The sequence below is a fragment of the Homo sapiens genome, chromosome 5, assembly GCF_000001405.40.
Source record: "Homo sapiens chromosome 5, GRCh38.p14 Primary Assembly".
NCBI lineage: Eukaryota > Metazoa > Chordata > Mammalia > Primates > Hominidae > Homo > Homo sapiens.
In genome coordinates, this window is record NC_000005.10 from 21328061 (window position 1) to 21344341 (window position 16281).

At 34.7% G+C, this 16281-nt stretch overlaps 1 long non-coding RNA gene across 1 annotated transcript in view; it reads right to left on the reverse strand.

Moving 5' to 3' along the window:
• LOC124900950 (uncharacterized) overlaps positions 1-13616 on the reverse strand; it is a 153441-nt gene extending 139825 nt beyond the window's left edge. The window contains exons 1-2 of the long non-coding RNA XR_007058710.1: positions 13125-13616; positions 1506-1570 (exon numbers count right to left, since the gene is read on the reverse strand). This is a non-coding gene — a long non-coding RNA (uncharacterized LOC124900950). The remainder of the gene's footprint in view (positions 1-1505; positions 1571-13124) is intronic.
• Between the last annotated feature and the right edge of the window lie 2665 nt (positions 13617-16281).

Genomic DNA, 16281 nt, shown 5'->3' on the forward strand with positions numbered 1-16281 from the left:
AAATATTTCATATTTTAAAGACTTCCATTCCTAACAAATGTGGAATACAACATTTCTAGCTCAAAATATTTTCCAAAACAAAACAGAATTTTTCCAGTCTTCACATATAAAACTAAAGCAACAAGCTCAAGTCTATCCAGACATTTTATACTTCAGAAATGAAAATATTAATCTTACGTGTTTATGGTGGATGTTTTTCTTATAATTTTAGTTAAAAAATATTTGTAGAAGGTTTTTATAGTAATATAGTCAGAAAATTAGTCTGCATTTTTAGCTACAAATTAAGCAGTATTTTAAAAATTAGCTCAGGAAATTTTATTTTATATTGTATTTTAGTCTGTATTTGAATGATATTTAAATTCTTAGATTTTCACTTTAGATGTGGGAACTCAGGTGCTTAATTCTATCCTCTTTAATTTTATATCTGTGATTTCTTCTGGTTTGTTTTCAGTTCTATTTTTTTCCTGCACTGCAAAAGAGTTTCTAAAGATTGTATTTAATATTACAAGCTTCATTTAATGCTCTATCATTTGGCATTTACATTTTTACATGGTTTTAAAATTATATATATTTCTTTGTATTTTTTATCTAATTTTATACAATTTTAAAAATCATGCACCTCTAATATCTATTGACTAGGTTTAGCTTTCATTTCAGAGATAACATTAATAGTGAAAAATATTATCTTAAATGCAAAGATATTCATTATTTAAAAATTGATCAATGACATTCACCAAATTATCACAGAGACAAAAACATAAAATGATCATCTGTAGAGATGCAGAAAAATAATTTGACAAAATTCAGCACTGATTTATAAGAATTATCAGCAAAATAAGAATAGAAATGAAAATTGACCAACAACCAGAAATGACAGCAACAACAAAATACCAAGTCAGTAAAGATGGAGAGAAATAGGGAAGCAGTGAAGGTAGATGTCATTTCTGTTTTTAGTGGTGGAATACAAGGTGTTCTTGTGCTTAAAGGTCATGTTCTTGTGATAAAACGCACTGCAGAGACAACACAGTTTAATTGGCTGAGGCAGGTGACTCCCTTTAAGCATCAGGGTGGAACAAACTACGCGACAAAATGTAATTTTAAAAACCACTCTCATTCAAATGTAATAATATCAAAGCACCCTTAACTCATTAATGAGTGAAACAATGAGTGTCATGGTCTGAATTGTGTTCCCCTCCCCAAACCCGTATGTTCAAGCCCTAACCCCTAGTTATACACACAAGGTAAATGAAACCTTATTTGGACACAAAGTTTTTGCAGATGTAATCAAGCTAAAATTAGGTCTTTAGGTGGGACTTAAAACAACATGGGTTATCTTTATAAGAAGAGGGAACAGAAACAGATAGGATATGGAGAGGACCATGTGAAGACAGAAGCTGAGACTGAAAAGGATTTATGTATTAATATTAACAGAAGCCAAGGAACACCATCTGAAGTTCTGATGGCAACATCAGAAGCTAAGAGAAAGGCATGGAAAAGATTCTCACCTAGAGCATCCAGAGGAGAGGTTGGTCCTGCAGACACCTTGTTTTCTGACTTCTGACCTCCGCAACTGTGAGAGAAGAAATTTCTGTTGCTTAAAGACACACAGCTTGTGGTACTTTATTATAGCAGCCCAAGGTAACTAATATAGATGACAAAACTGGCTCCAAGGGTGTTTGAGGAACTGGACCTTTATAGGCATTATTTTCATAATACTGCATTAAGCTATGATAACTGGATTAGATTCAAAATTGGCTAATGCCTTAAATGCAATAAAGCTATAATTTTGAGATAAAATTTTAATAGCTTTATGAGATATAATTAACATCTGGTATACTGCACTTTTTTGAGGTGTGAAATTTTTAAACATTAACATATGTATATACTTGTAAAACTATCACACTATAGAGAGATCTCAAGCCTCTTCTTTTGACTTTCAACACATTGTCAATCCAGTACTAATCTGGTTTTATTACCATATATTAGCTTTTATTTTCTACAATTATGTATCAGTAGAATTATAGAGTATGAATTATTTTTGTCTTTTTTCCTTAAGCATAATATTTTTGAGATTCAACAATTTCTTGCATGTTTAAGTAGCACTTTTTTTTTGTTACATATTATTTCATTTCATAGACATACCACTATAATTTATTTACTAAACTCTTGACCAGAGGGTCTCAAATGAGGGACATTTTACCTGCCAGGGGACATTTCCAATGTTTGGGGACACTTTTGGTTATCAGAGGTTTGTGGAGGAGGGGATGGAGTGTGCACAGGCCAGGGTTCCACAAAGGATAGCTCCGCACAACAAAGAATTAAGCCACTTCAACAGCTAATAGTGCTGAACTTGAGAACGCCGCTCTTGGTGGACAGTTGCATGGTGTCTGTTTTTGACAATAACGAATAAAGGTACTTGTGCAAGCCTTTTTATAGACTTATGCTTTTCTCCCCCCTAGGATAAATGCCTAGGGGTAGAATTGGTACATGTAAGGTAGATTTAGTTATCCAAAGTAGCTATACTGTGTTACACTCCCACCGTCAATGTATGCAAACTCTAGATTGTGGTTTCTTGACATCTATGCCAAATATTGGTAACACAATTTTTAAAATAGTAGCTTTTCTAGTAGATGTGTATAATTATCTCATTTTATTTTTTATTACTAATGATATTAAGAAATTTTTCATTTGCTTATTTGCTATTATATCATTTTTGTGTAGCATCTGTTAGTTTTTATAGTTCTCTTGTTTCCATGTTGTACATTATATTTATACATTCTTGCTCTTATTCATAATAAATAGTATATATAATTGTGTAATTAAAAATAAACATTAAAATATAAATATATTTATACATTTCTGTAGTTTATCATTATATAATTATTGCTTTCTGAATAAAAACAAATTTCTCCACAGTTTGGATAAAAAGAAATGCTTTCATGTAGTTTACTAAGACATTTTCTGTGCTTTATATTTGAAGCCTATGCTTTCACTTTTACATATTGTTCCATAATATATTTTGGACTCATTTAATTTTGAACTCATTCATGCTTTTGTTGTGAGGAAGGACTTGAGGTTTGTTTTCTTCACATTTATCTCATAGTTCTGCACACTTTGTTAAATAAAATTATCTTTCCCCTTTGAATAACTGCAGTATCTTTGATATTATATTATTCATATAAGCATGGATCTATTTGTGAACTCTATTCCATTCCATTACTCTAATTGTTTATCCATATACTAATAACACATTCTCTTGATGACTATAGCTTTAAGTTATTGCATGGTGTTAGGAAGTGTGAGTATTCCAACTTTTTTTTCAGCTTTTTATCATTTGTTTTTGCTCTCTTGATGTACATTTTTAAATCAGTGTGTCAATTTATATAAAAATATCTTTTGTGATTATGGTGAGGATTTCTAGAATGATTAATTTGGAAAAACCAAAACCTTTTACACACTAAAATTCACTGAACTTTCAAGCCATGATTATTGTATTAGTTTGTTCTGGCATTGCTATAGAGAAATACAGAAGACTCAACAATTTATGAAGAAAAGAGGTTTAATTGCCCCACTGTTCTGCAGGCTATACAGGAAGGATGATGCTGGCATCTACTTAGCTTCTGGGAAGACTCAGGAAATGTACAATCATGGCAGAAAGCAAAGGGGGACAGGCACGCCACATGGCCAGAACAGCAAGAGAGTGAAAGGGGAAGGTGCTACACACTTTTAAATGACCAGATCTCATGAGAACTCACTCACTCACTATTATGAGAACAATATCAAGAGGGATGATGCTGAACCACTCATGAGAAATCCACCCCATGATCCAATCACCTCCCACCAGGCCTCACCTCTAACATTGGAGATTACATCATATCAGATTTGGGCAGGGACACACATCAAAACCATCAATTATTGTATGTGACTCCATTTATTTAGAACTTTCCTACATCTCCCAACACTTTTGCTAGTTTCCTATTTAGAGAGATCTTGCATGTAATTTGTTAAAATCATATATACATATTTTATTTTTATTAGTATTTTACATGGATTTGATTTTTATCATTAATTGCTCATTGGAAATATATAGAAATAAGTTAATGGGTTGACTTATTTTTTCTATGATGTGGCTAAAATTACTAGTTTATTCCAGCAGCTGATTTTTACAGTCACTAGAAGTTTATGTATAGGTAATGGAGTTGTTTAAAAATTTAGAATTGTATTTTTCATTTCTTAACTGTGTATGTTTTACTTATTTATTTGATTTGTCTCACTGGTTAATTCCTCCCATACAGTAGAGAGAACAATAGTGAAAGAGGACACTTTGTCTTCTTCTGGATCTTAAATGAATAATTTATTAGTTCAAACTTCAGTGTGATATTTCCATAGATGCCTTCTATTTGCTTAAGGATGCTTCTTTGTATTCTATTGGGGCGAGATATTTTTATTATAATTCTATCTTGAAAATGCCAAATGTTTTTTCTGCCTCAGAGGAAGTTTATATATTTTTTTCATTTTACTCAGTTAATGTGGTGAGTTTGAAAATTCAAAATACTTGAAAAATCACGTTCCCATCAAACACTGCTTCTTACTCTGCCTTTCTAAGAGGACTACCTTCAACTTGGGCATTTAGAGGATACTTCCCTTCCTATAGCTCAGGGTTTTTTTGTATTTTTTTTATGTTTAAATTTTAGTGATATTTCTTTTTTGTGTTTTTAAAATATTTTATGGGCTATTGCATTGACCCATTTGTTTCAACTTTACAGCTCTAGTTAAATATAAAAATTAATAAAATGTCAACACTCAAGCATTACATATATCCCTTGATCTGGTGATTTAGGACTATGAGAAAAATGCTCAATTTCCCTCGATAGAAGGAAGTATCAACTTTTTTATTTATTCATTTATTACTGTAGACTCACAGCCTAAAAAATCATTAGGTCTCCATTGATCAGCAAGCAAATGATCATGATTGCTTTTCTGAATTTTTGACAATTTCAGAATAGGCAAGAAAGCTAAATTTTAAAAATAAAATGCCAACACCAAGAGTTTAAAATCAAATTCGTCACAATGAATCCCAACAGGAAATAGTTCTTCATTTTATGATTACTCAGAGATTTTGCTTGTTGTAGTGGTCTTCCTTCTGGCTCATAATTTTTTGCTACTCTGCAGCAGAAATAATAAGAAATATTTTCCCAGTCCACAGTGGTGAAGGAGAAGAAAACTATAAATCAAAAGTAGCATATTCTGTGGATCATTTATTGAAATAAACACAGTGAGTACAAGATGGGTAATCTATTTGCATAATCAAAGACACCCTTCATCTGTGTCTATTTTTTTCTTTTCTTTCTTTTTTTTTTTTGAGACAGAGTCTCACTCTGTTACCCAGGTTGGAGTGCAGTGGCATGATCTTGTCTCACTGCAGACTCCGCCTCCCGGGTTCCAGCAATCTTCCTGCCACAGCTTCCTGAGTAGCTGGGATTACAAGGTATGGGCCACCATGCCCGGCTAATTTTTGTATTTTTATTAGAGATGGGGTTTCGCTATGTTGGCCAGACTGGTCTTGAACTCCTGGCCTCAAGTGATCTGCCCGCCTCAGCCTACCAAAGTGCTGGGTTACAGGCATGAGCGACTTGCCTGGCTATGTCTATTTTTAACATAGTTATAGTGAACTATAATCATTTTTACATAAAAACTATTCTTACAAATGTTATATGTATTTTAGGAGCATACAAACTTATGGGTTTTTTTATTTAATAAAAACCAGTGGCAGATTGATAATGCAGAATATATTATTTATAAAAAATCATTTGTTGTCATACAAACATATATTTTATTTGAAAATTATACTTTTGAATAGCTTTTTGGAAAGTTAAAGTATTCTCATTTATTGCATACATTTGTCACCAAAATTATACGAAAGAGTGTTTGATTCAAAATGTGTGTGTGTGTGTGTTCCTATATAGGACCTGGATAACACATATATATTAAATAAATAAATACATGTATATATCATGCACACACATTTAAATATAATGTAAATGTGTGTGTGTGTGCATGTGTATGTGTATGCAGATGCCCCTCTGGAAACAAATTTAAAAAGAATCCCCTCTTTTGAGTGTATAAAGAAGTTCCTTTCTTAAGGAATGGATAACAGGGGTTGGTACTTTGGCTGAATTCCTCTTCCTCTTACTTTCATTAGACTTGGCACTGTTGCATAGAACACAATTTTCCAAAATGTAATGTCTGTGTTATGCCTGCAAATGTACCATACATAACAATTTGTCATTTTCTGTAATTACATACTGACCTATTTAACATTTATCTAACCACTTATATATCTTAATTAAATCAACCCATGTAAATTGTTTATTTCTATTGTCTTTCTCAGTATAATGCACAAGATACCTTTCTATCTCTATATGTATTTGTCATTTTCATGTCTGTCCCTACATGAATTGACTCTATTTTTCTATTACATAGATATGTGATGTTAGTACAATATATGTTAACTAAAAATGGATGATGCAACCTTTTAAAATTATGAACATCACAGTGAAAATTATGTCTCTAAAACCCAATGACCAAAGGGACATTCCAGTTTTTAGAAAAATATCAGGGGCTTAGGTATTTTCAGATTAAATTTTGAAAAATAGAGTATCTTTCCATTTATTTATGTGGGCAAATTTCCCATTTGTTGACATTAAATCTTAATGGCATATTGCCTAAATCTTTCTCAGAAAAGCTTAGCCAAATTGCCTAGGATGTTTCCTTTCTCCCATATTACCATCACTGTATACCATCATATTTCCAATAATTTTAACTTTGGAAAATGAAAATGGTATTTCAATTTAAATGCGTATGTTTTTCTATTTGCAAAGAGATTAAACATCTCTTCAAGTTTTTAAACTATATGCAGCCCTTCTTTTCTGCTATACCTGTTCATTTCCTCAAGCTATTTTTCCATCAGACAGTTTTATATTTTCTCATTGATTTGAAGCTTCTATTAAAGTATTGTATACACATGGGTAAATGCACATAAGTTTAAAGCTTAGTGAGTTTTAAAATACTATGATCATCCAGAATAAGAAAATGTAATAGTCACACACCTGATTTCCACCCATCCCTCCTAACATAACACTATTCTAACTTTTACCAGTAAGGAATCAAATAGTGTGAGTAGTGTTTTGAACCACATTTTTTTGCTTAATATTTTATTTGTGAGACTAATTGATTATATGACCTGCAAATGAAACTATTTACATTTATTCCTCTAATATTTTATTAGGTGATCATATTACAACTTATTTGTTTACTGTACTCTTTATAAGTATTTTAGTCTACTTTTGGCCCACAGTTTGGGGTTATTTTGGTGTTATTCTGAAAAGTGTTTTCATGAGTACACATTTTTTTTTAGCTATATATATGCATGCATTTCTGGAGAAACATCTTTACAAACAGAATTTTGGGGCCTAATACATATCTTTATCCAAATTATTTGAACTAAGTTATGCCAATAACATCAATTTGAGTGTTCTAATTAGTCAACATTCTCATCAATACTTTGCATTTTCTCTTCAACTTAGAATTCTAAAATATTCCTTTCAAATTCAGGATTCTGAATGACAAGTACTTACATCTCATTGTGGTTTGAATTATTTTTTCAGATAACCAATATAAATAAAAACCTTTTAATAAGTTCATTGGTTATTTGAATATTTTATTTTTGAAGTGTCTAAAATATTTTCTTTTTAATCCTGTCCAGTTATTTTTCTGTGGTTTGCTTCTTGTTGTCTTATTGAGTTCATTGCCTTTTTAATATTCTTTTCCAGTTAACATTTCCCCCTCATTGATCTGAAATGTTTTCATTATATACCACCTTTCCATATCTGTCAATGTCTTGATTTTCTATATGATCTTCATCTATCTGTATTTATAACTCATTTTAATCATAGAAGCTTTAAGAATTGCTTAATATTTTGTATTGACTCCAAATTCCATTGATTTTATAGGATATTTCTAGCTATTCTTGCTTCTTTATTCCTCCAAGTAAATTTGTCTATTTTTCTGAATCTGGAAAAAGAAATTCTAGAAAATATTGTTTTGTTATGACATAGAAGATATAAGTTTATTTAAAGAACTGGCACATTTATGATTTTAAGGCTTTTTCAAGAGCATGGAATTTCTTTCCCCGTGCTCAAGTCCAAATGTGTGCCATTCAGAAGTGTTTTCTAGTTTTTTTATATATAGGTTTTAAACATTTCTGGTTAAGTTTATGCCCTCACATTTTATTTTAGTTTGGTTAATGACGTTTTACATGGTGAGTTCCTCAATTATTTCTTTTAAATGTTCTGATTCAATAGGAACACTCTCCTTAGTATCCTTAACAGAAATGATTCTTGTTTATAGAATTGCTAAATAAGTAAAGAAATTTTAAGTTAAATCATGGCAAGGAGTTATAATTATACTCAGCTTTTTTGTTCCTAGAGATTTTGGCTCATTCATATGGTAATCTATATGAAAATTTTTCTGTGATATCTAATATTAGAAAGATCCTCAATGATAGAATAGTGTTTCTTCCTAGCTGATTCATACATCTTTCTCTGCCAATATTTTGTTTGTTGAAGTGTTCCCCAACATATGACTCGTTGCTTACTAAATCCCTATTGAGCAGCCAAAGCCCTGGTGACTAATTATGTCATTAATTTGGGAAAGTCAGAGACAATAAGACTGTCAGTTGAAACTTTGTAGGAGGTAAAAAAGTCACTGCTGTCAGCTGCAAAGATCCTTAAAATGGTCTTTAATAAAGTCAAATTTTGTGACAATAATTATTGCATCAAAGTCGGGGAAATACCTCTTAGATCAAATAAGATACATTGAAAAGCCAAAAATTATTTTTATCTCACTTTGTATTCTCATAAGGTCTATCCACTGTTACTTGGATATGAGACTTAACAAATGGAAAAGAAGACAGGGGTACTATCACACTGTATTTTCCTATGGCCTAATGACCACAATGGTTGATGAACTGCAGTAAAGTTTCTATAATATTTTCCATCTGTTCATTTGCTCAATCACCTTGTAATGGTTATGTCGGTTAATTCCAGTCTTTCATGTGTAAGCAACAAAATGAGACTTATTTTGAAATATCCAGTATTTTTCTATTCTTACAAATAATTTTCAGGATCAATGCATTGAGGATTAGGAATGGCAATGTGTATTACTACTTTGATACCAACTATATCCAATCTAATGTTGGAATTTGTTTGACAAAGTGTTGTGTATTTGAAAATAGGTAGCACTGAATAAAAAGAATATGGGCAAAAGAAAAATGGAAGTGTTTTGAATGGAAGTCTAAAATATTTATTGATCAATGCTGAACTGAGTAAGCAGGAGATGCCTGTACTTAAATGACATTATCCTGATCTAGTAACAGGGGGAAGCAGAATATCTGAAAGCTGTTTATTAATTTGATAATAATAAGATTAGAAACATGCAAATCAAGATTAATAGTATTCACTTCTAATTGGGTTTAGGTAGACTTTGACTATTTTGCTTCTGATGTTCTTATATTTTTAATTTTCTATAATGATCATATAATATATAATATTTTCATAATATTAAACATTTTAGAATTAAACTCCATTAGAGTGTATCTTTCCTAAAATAATATAAACATCCAATCTTGTCATTAACAATTCCGTTCTCAAACATTAGCCTTTTCCCTCAAGCCAATGTTGCTTTCGACCCATATTGTCCATCATTTCAATTTATCTCAAAGTTTTTTATTGCAACAATTAAATGCTTTGAATGATACCCAAGGCATAGTTCTATTTCAATAAAATTTCAAAGTTAATAGTTACATCAAATTTTGTTGGTGCTCATTGAATTTGGTTATTAAAACCATAAGTAGTATGTTTTATGCTGACTGAGGGAGATAAAAGTAGTAATGTTTAATATTCAAACTGTGATGACTGAAAAAAAAATTAGAAGCCTGTAAAATCTTATTTAATGTCAAATTTTAATTAAACAGGCTTAGCAGACCAAAATTAAAATCTCAATTATTTTTAAATTATTATTATTTTTTTTTTTTTTGAGACGGAGTCTCGCTCTGTCGCCCAGGCTGGAGTGCAGTGGCGGGATCTCGGCTCACTGCAAGCTCCGCCTCCCGGGTTCACGCCATTCTCCTGCCTCAGCCTCCCAAGTAGCTGGGACTACAGGCGCCCGCCACTACGCCCGGCTAATTTTTTGTATTTTTAGTAGAGACGGGGTTTCACCGTTTTAGCCGGGATGGTCTCGATCTCCTGACCTCGTGATCCGCCCGCCTCGGCCTCCCAAAGTGCTGGGATTACAGGCGTGAGCCACCGCGCCCGGCCTATTTTTAAATTATTAATGACAGACAACTAGATTGAGTGAACACTGGCATCTCTTTTCAAATAACTTAGTTTAGTGGATGAGTTAAACATAAACTAGTTATTATAATGCAGCGAAGTATGTGAAAAATTTAATTTGAACCCTACTTAGCTTAAAATCCTGACATTCTAGGATGCAAGTCCTGCAAACTTTCCATATGTAATTAACAATTTTCTAAACATGCATGCTGTATCTCTCCTGTGTGACTTTGCATACCTCATTCCCACATTCTAGATTACCCCAACCCACCTTAAGTGACTGCTTTTGCATAATCTCCCTTAAAATTCTAACTCAAGCACTGCATCTTTTGAGTCCTTCCCTAACATCTTAACATCTTCCTTCTTTCATTCATCATTAACTATAGTTAGTTATTATAGCACCTGTTAGCACTGTAAAATTATGTGTGTTACACAAGTACAACATGCAGACTAAGGTCGTGTATTACCTAGCCTCATATCAGCATCACCTAGAACAGCAAAAATGTATGCAGATTAATCACAATATATTTGGATGTACAAAATATATTGAGAGCAAAATATGATGGAAATTTAGGTGATGCTCTTTGAGCATTGCTTCCATTTTCCAATAATGTAACCAGGAATCACTGTTCATATAATTAAAGAACAATAAGTCTATGTGAATCAAAATATACGTATACATGCAAATGTTAAACCTCAGTAGGAAGAGGCTCATTCTCTTGCTTGCTGCTATATATATATATATATATATATATATATATATATATATATACTCATATATATATGTTGTGTGTATATGTATATACACACAACAATCTATAGGCTTGCTTTTTAAAATAGTATAAGCAACAAATTTTAAGAGAAACAATAATGAGTGTGTAAAACATTAGATATGTGTATGTACCTTTGCTATTATTTGTGGAAATGGGGCTATAAAATAAGCTCCTTTATTTTCTTTTGTAAAACATTTCTTTAATATGAAGTAATGCAATACGTATTTATGTTCTAAGTGTTTTAATTTCCTTGGATATAAAATAATATCTTATTCCTTTGATTCTCTTACATATAAGTGTATTTACTCAGATATTACTCCAAATACACCAGATATATTCAAAGTTGAAAAAATATATACTTTGGAATGTATTATCACCTTATTTCACATTAAGAAATCAAAATCTCTGGTATCCAAGTGCATTCCAGCCTGAAAAAAATTATGCAATTGTGAATTTAACAGAAAGCAAATTGCTCACATATGGAGTCAACGTGAAGCTATATCAATATTTATTAAAAGTTTATATATTACTTTTGATCCCCTGGAGAGAAATACAAAATTCAAATAATTATTCTATTTTTATATCCCAATTTGTAATTATGAAACTCTAGCATTTTAATTTTTCTCTTTCAAGTTTACCTGAAGCTTTACAAAATTCTGTGAGGAATCTATTATAACAGGTATTTTGCTTATTTCCACACAAACAGAAGGAAATGTGTATTTTCTATGCCCTGAAGAATTTACTCTTTTCTGTAAATGACATATGGTAGTTAATTCTTTTTGGTAATAAAATATTCCTGTTTTTATGCCGAACAGCCTTTTCATTTAAATTCAGGGCAACATATCAAAGCTTTGCCGTAATAATACAGAGTAATCAACTAAAGTAATATAGAATTTAAATAACAAAGAGTTTAAACAATTTAATATGTCTTCTATTAATTTCAAACTGAAATTTTACAGAAATTATTTGGAATATGCTGCCAGAGTACACACACACACACACACACGCATCACACGCTCACATCACACACTCACACCCAGCTAAAGGAAATTACCACAGCTATAATGATTTCATTAAATATCTGAAATTAAAGTTTCTTTTGGACTTTCAGCTGAAGCTCATAGTAAATAAAAGTAATATGATCATTGTTGCATACTGTGACTCAACAGCACACAGAAACCTTAGACTTTCTATATTTACACAGCTTAATTATCCGAACTGAAACCTGAGGCCATCTGTGTCAACACGATTTCACAATTCATTCCAGAAAATTATTTTTCAGGAAAGTAAGGCTGCAAACCAATAAATAACTTATTGTTTGCTTCAGGAAATTTCTGCAAATCAATTTATGTCAGTAAGCAACTCTCCTCTGGGCCAACAGATTGCTCACCTGGGCAGGTAGCAGCTTGTGTCAATAACAGTTTACTTATGAAGACTTCTGTCATGGCCCTTAACTCACAGTGTCCCCCAATCCTAAACTCTATGTCCTGAACATTACCTATTCTTATCAGTCATTGGTCTTGAAAGGCCCCGGGCAACCATTTGAGCCCAGACTTCAATACTCTATCAATACCACCTTATCATCTACTTTTCTAACATAACCCCTCAAGGTGGTGACCCCACTTAACAGTCGTATTTTATTGAATTTAGCTTTCCCTAATCAACATGCTAGTCTATTGGATGCAGTGTCAGAGGCAACAATCACAGAGGTTCTGAAAGCATCAGCCCATGGTTTTCTAAACATCATGGTTCAAGACCCTTAACACGAAACAGAAAGTTTCCCCGAGGCGCCGTAAACAACCCGTTTGGGCGCTTCCCTGATAATTATAGTGAAATCTGGCATCTAATTTTTTTTGGTGGACTCTCAAATTTTATATTTATGTTTTGATTCCTAGAAATAAAAAATGTTTTTATAAGGAATTCTTTGATCGTTTATGTTTTATTCTTGATAGAAACCTACTTTATAACTTCGAACATTATTGATGTTCTTCCTGTATTTCTGAGAGGTGACAGCTTGCTGGCATCCCTCGCTGGCTCTCCGCGCCTCCTCGGCCTCAGCCCACTCTGGCCGCGCTTGAGGAGCCCTTCAGCCCGCAGCTGCACCGTGGGAGCCCCTCCCTGTGCTGGCTGAGGCCTGAGCGGGCTCCCTCTGCTGGCGGGGAGGTGTGGAGGGAGAGGCGCGGGCCGGAACCTGGGCTGCCTGCGGTGCTCGCAGGTCCAGCGCGACTTCCGGGTGGGCGCGGGCTCGGCGCGCCCCGCATTCTGAGCGGTCGGCTGGCGCCGCCGGCCCTGGGCAGTGAGAGGCTTAGCACCCGGGCCAACAGCTGCGGAGGGTGCACTGGGTCCTCCAACAGTGATGGCCCGCCGGCGCCGCGCTCGAATTTTCGCTGGGCCTCAGCCACCTCCCCGCGGGGCAAGGGGGCAGGGCTCGGGACCTGCAGCCTGCCATGCTGGAGCCCTCACCCTGCCCCCCGCCCCCGTCCCCTGCCCCCCGCCCCCCAACCGCGGGCTCCCGCGCGCCACCCCGAGGGGACGGGCGCCACCTCCTGCTACGCGGCACCCGGTCCCGTCAACCGCCCAACGGCTGAGGAGTGCGGGAGCGCGCCAGAGACTGGCGGGCAGCTCCGCCCGCGGCCGGGATGCACTAGGCAAAGCCAGCTGGGCTCCTGAGTCCGGTGGGTACTTGGAGAACTTACTACGTCTAGCTGGAGGATTGTAAATGCACCAATCAGCATGCTGTGTCTAGCTCAAGGTATGTGAACGCACCAATCAGTGCTCTGTGTCTAGCTAATCTGGTGGGGACTTGGAGAACTTTTGTGTCTAGCTAAAGGATTGTAAACAGACCAATCAGCTCTCTATGAAATGGACCAATCATCAGGATGTGGGTGGGGTGAGATAAGGGAATAAAAGCGGCTGCCACAGCCAGCAACAGCAACGTGCTAGGGTCCCTTTCCACAGTGTGGAGGCTTTGTTCTTTTGCTCTTTGCAATCTTGCTGCTGCTCACTGTTTGGCTCTGCACAGAGCTGTAACACTCACCAAGAAGGTCTGCAGCTTCACCCAAAGATATTCCAAAGATACAGAAAACTATATAGAGACATTTTGTATAGTTCTAATAGCATATAATCCACAGGTCCCTGATCTATAATATGGGTTTTTTATAAAATTGGTTTTTTGTATGCTATGAGGAATTTTACTTGTTAAAAAGAAGAGGTGGAAAGGCAGAATATGAAAACTATGAGAATGACATAAGAGACTATGAATTAGGTGAGAAACCAGAGAGATTTAGAAACCTGTAGACATTGTGCATCCCCCAATGCCTTTCCCCTTAAAAAAATATTATATTCTAATCCAGTCCATCAAATAAAGTCTACATTCATTAGAAACATATTCTCTTGGTTTTTATAATTTCAGTTTTTTTCAGACACAGATAGTGCATATGCAGATTTGTTACTTTTGTACAGTGCACCCTGGTAGTGAGCATAGTACCCAGTAGGTAATTATTCAGCCCATGCTCCCCTCTCTCCCCCACCCCCATAGCCTGCAGCATGTCTTGTTCCCATGTTAATGTTCCTGTGTGTTCAATGTTTAGGTTCCACTTATAAGTGAGAATGTGTGGTATCTGGTTTTCTTTTCCAGCACTAATTTGCTTAGGATTATGTCCTTAGCTCTATCCATGTTGCTGCAAAGGACATAATTTCATTCTTTTTTATGGAGGCATAGTATTCCATAGTGTATATGTACCACATTTTCTTTATCCAATCCACCGTTGATGGGCACCTAGGTTCATTCCATGTCTCTGCTATTGTGAATAACATGCTGATGAACATACGAGTGCATATATATTTTTCTGGTAGAATAATTTATTTTCCTTTGAATATATACCCAGTAATGGGAATGCTGGGTGGAAGGGTATCTCTGTTTTAAGTTCTTAGAGAAATCTCCAAAATACTTTCCACAGTACCTGAACCAGTTTACATTTCCACCAACAGTAGTGTATAAGCATTCCCTTTACTCTGCAGCCTGGCCAACATCTAATTTTTTGACTTTTTAATTATAGCTATTGTGACTGATGTGAGTTGGCATCTTACTGTGGTTTTTGCTTGCATTTATTTATTTGATGATTAGTGAGGATGAGTGTTTTTTCATATACTTGAGTGTCTTCTTTTGAGAAAATATCTGTTCATGTCCTTTGCCTTTTCTTGATTTAAATTTTAAGTTCTGGGGTACATGTGCAGGAAGCGCAGTTTTGTTACATAGATAAACGTGTGTGGTGGTGGTTTGCTGCACCTATCAACCCATCACCTAGGTATTAAACCCAGCATGCAGTAGCTATTTTTCCTGATGCTCTCCCTCTCCTCAACCCCCTACAGAAAATTATAGTGTGTGTTGTGTGTTGTTCCCCATTGTGTGTTGTTCCCCTCCCTGTGTCCATGTGTTCCCATTGTTCAGCTCCCACTTATAAGTGAGAAGATGCGGAGTTTGATTTTCTGCTCCTGTATTAGCTTTGCCCTTTTTAACTGGGGTTGTTTTATGCTTGTCATTTTTTCTTCCTTATGGATTTGTTATATTAGATCTTTATCAGATTCATAGTTTGCAAATATTTTCTCCCATTCTGTAAGTTGTCTGTTTACTCTGTGGATAGTTTCTATTGCTGTGCAGAAGCTTTTTAGTTTGATTGACTCTCACTTGTCAATTTCGTTTTTGTTGCAGTTGTTTTTAGAAACTTAGCCAAAAATTATTTGCCAAGGCCAACGTCGAGAAAAATATTTCCTAGGTTTTGTTTTAGAGTTTTCATAACTTGAAGTCTTACATTTTAACCTTTAATCCATCTTGAATTAATTTGTGTGTATGGTGGAAGGTAAGCATCCAGTTTCACTCTTCTGCTTATGGCTAGCGAATTATCCCAGCACCATTTATTGAATAGGGTGCCTTTTCCCCATTGTTTGTTTTTGTTGGCCTTGTCCAAGATCAGATGGTGGTAAGTGTGCAGCTTTAGTTTTGAGTGTTCTGTTCCATTGGCTTAAGTGTCTGCTTTTGTAACAGTATCATGGTTAGTGTACACTTATAGTATAGCTGGAAATTGGGTAGTATGATGCCTCTCTGGCTTTATTATTTT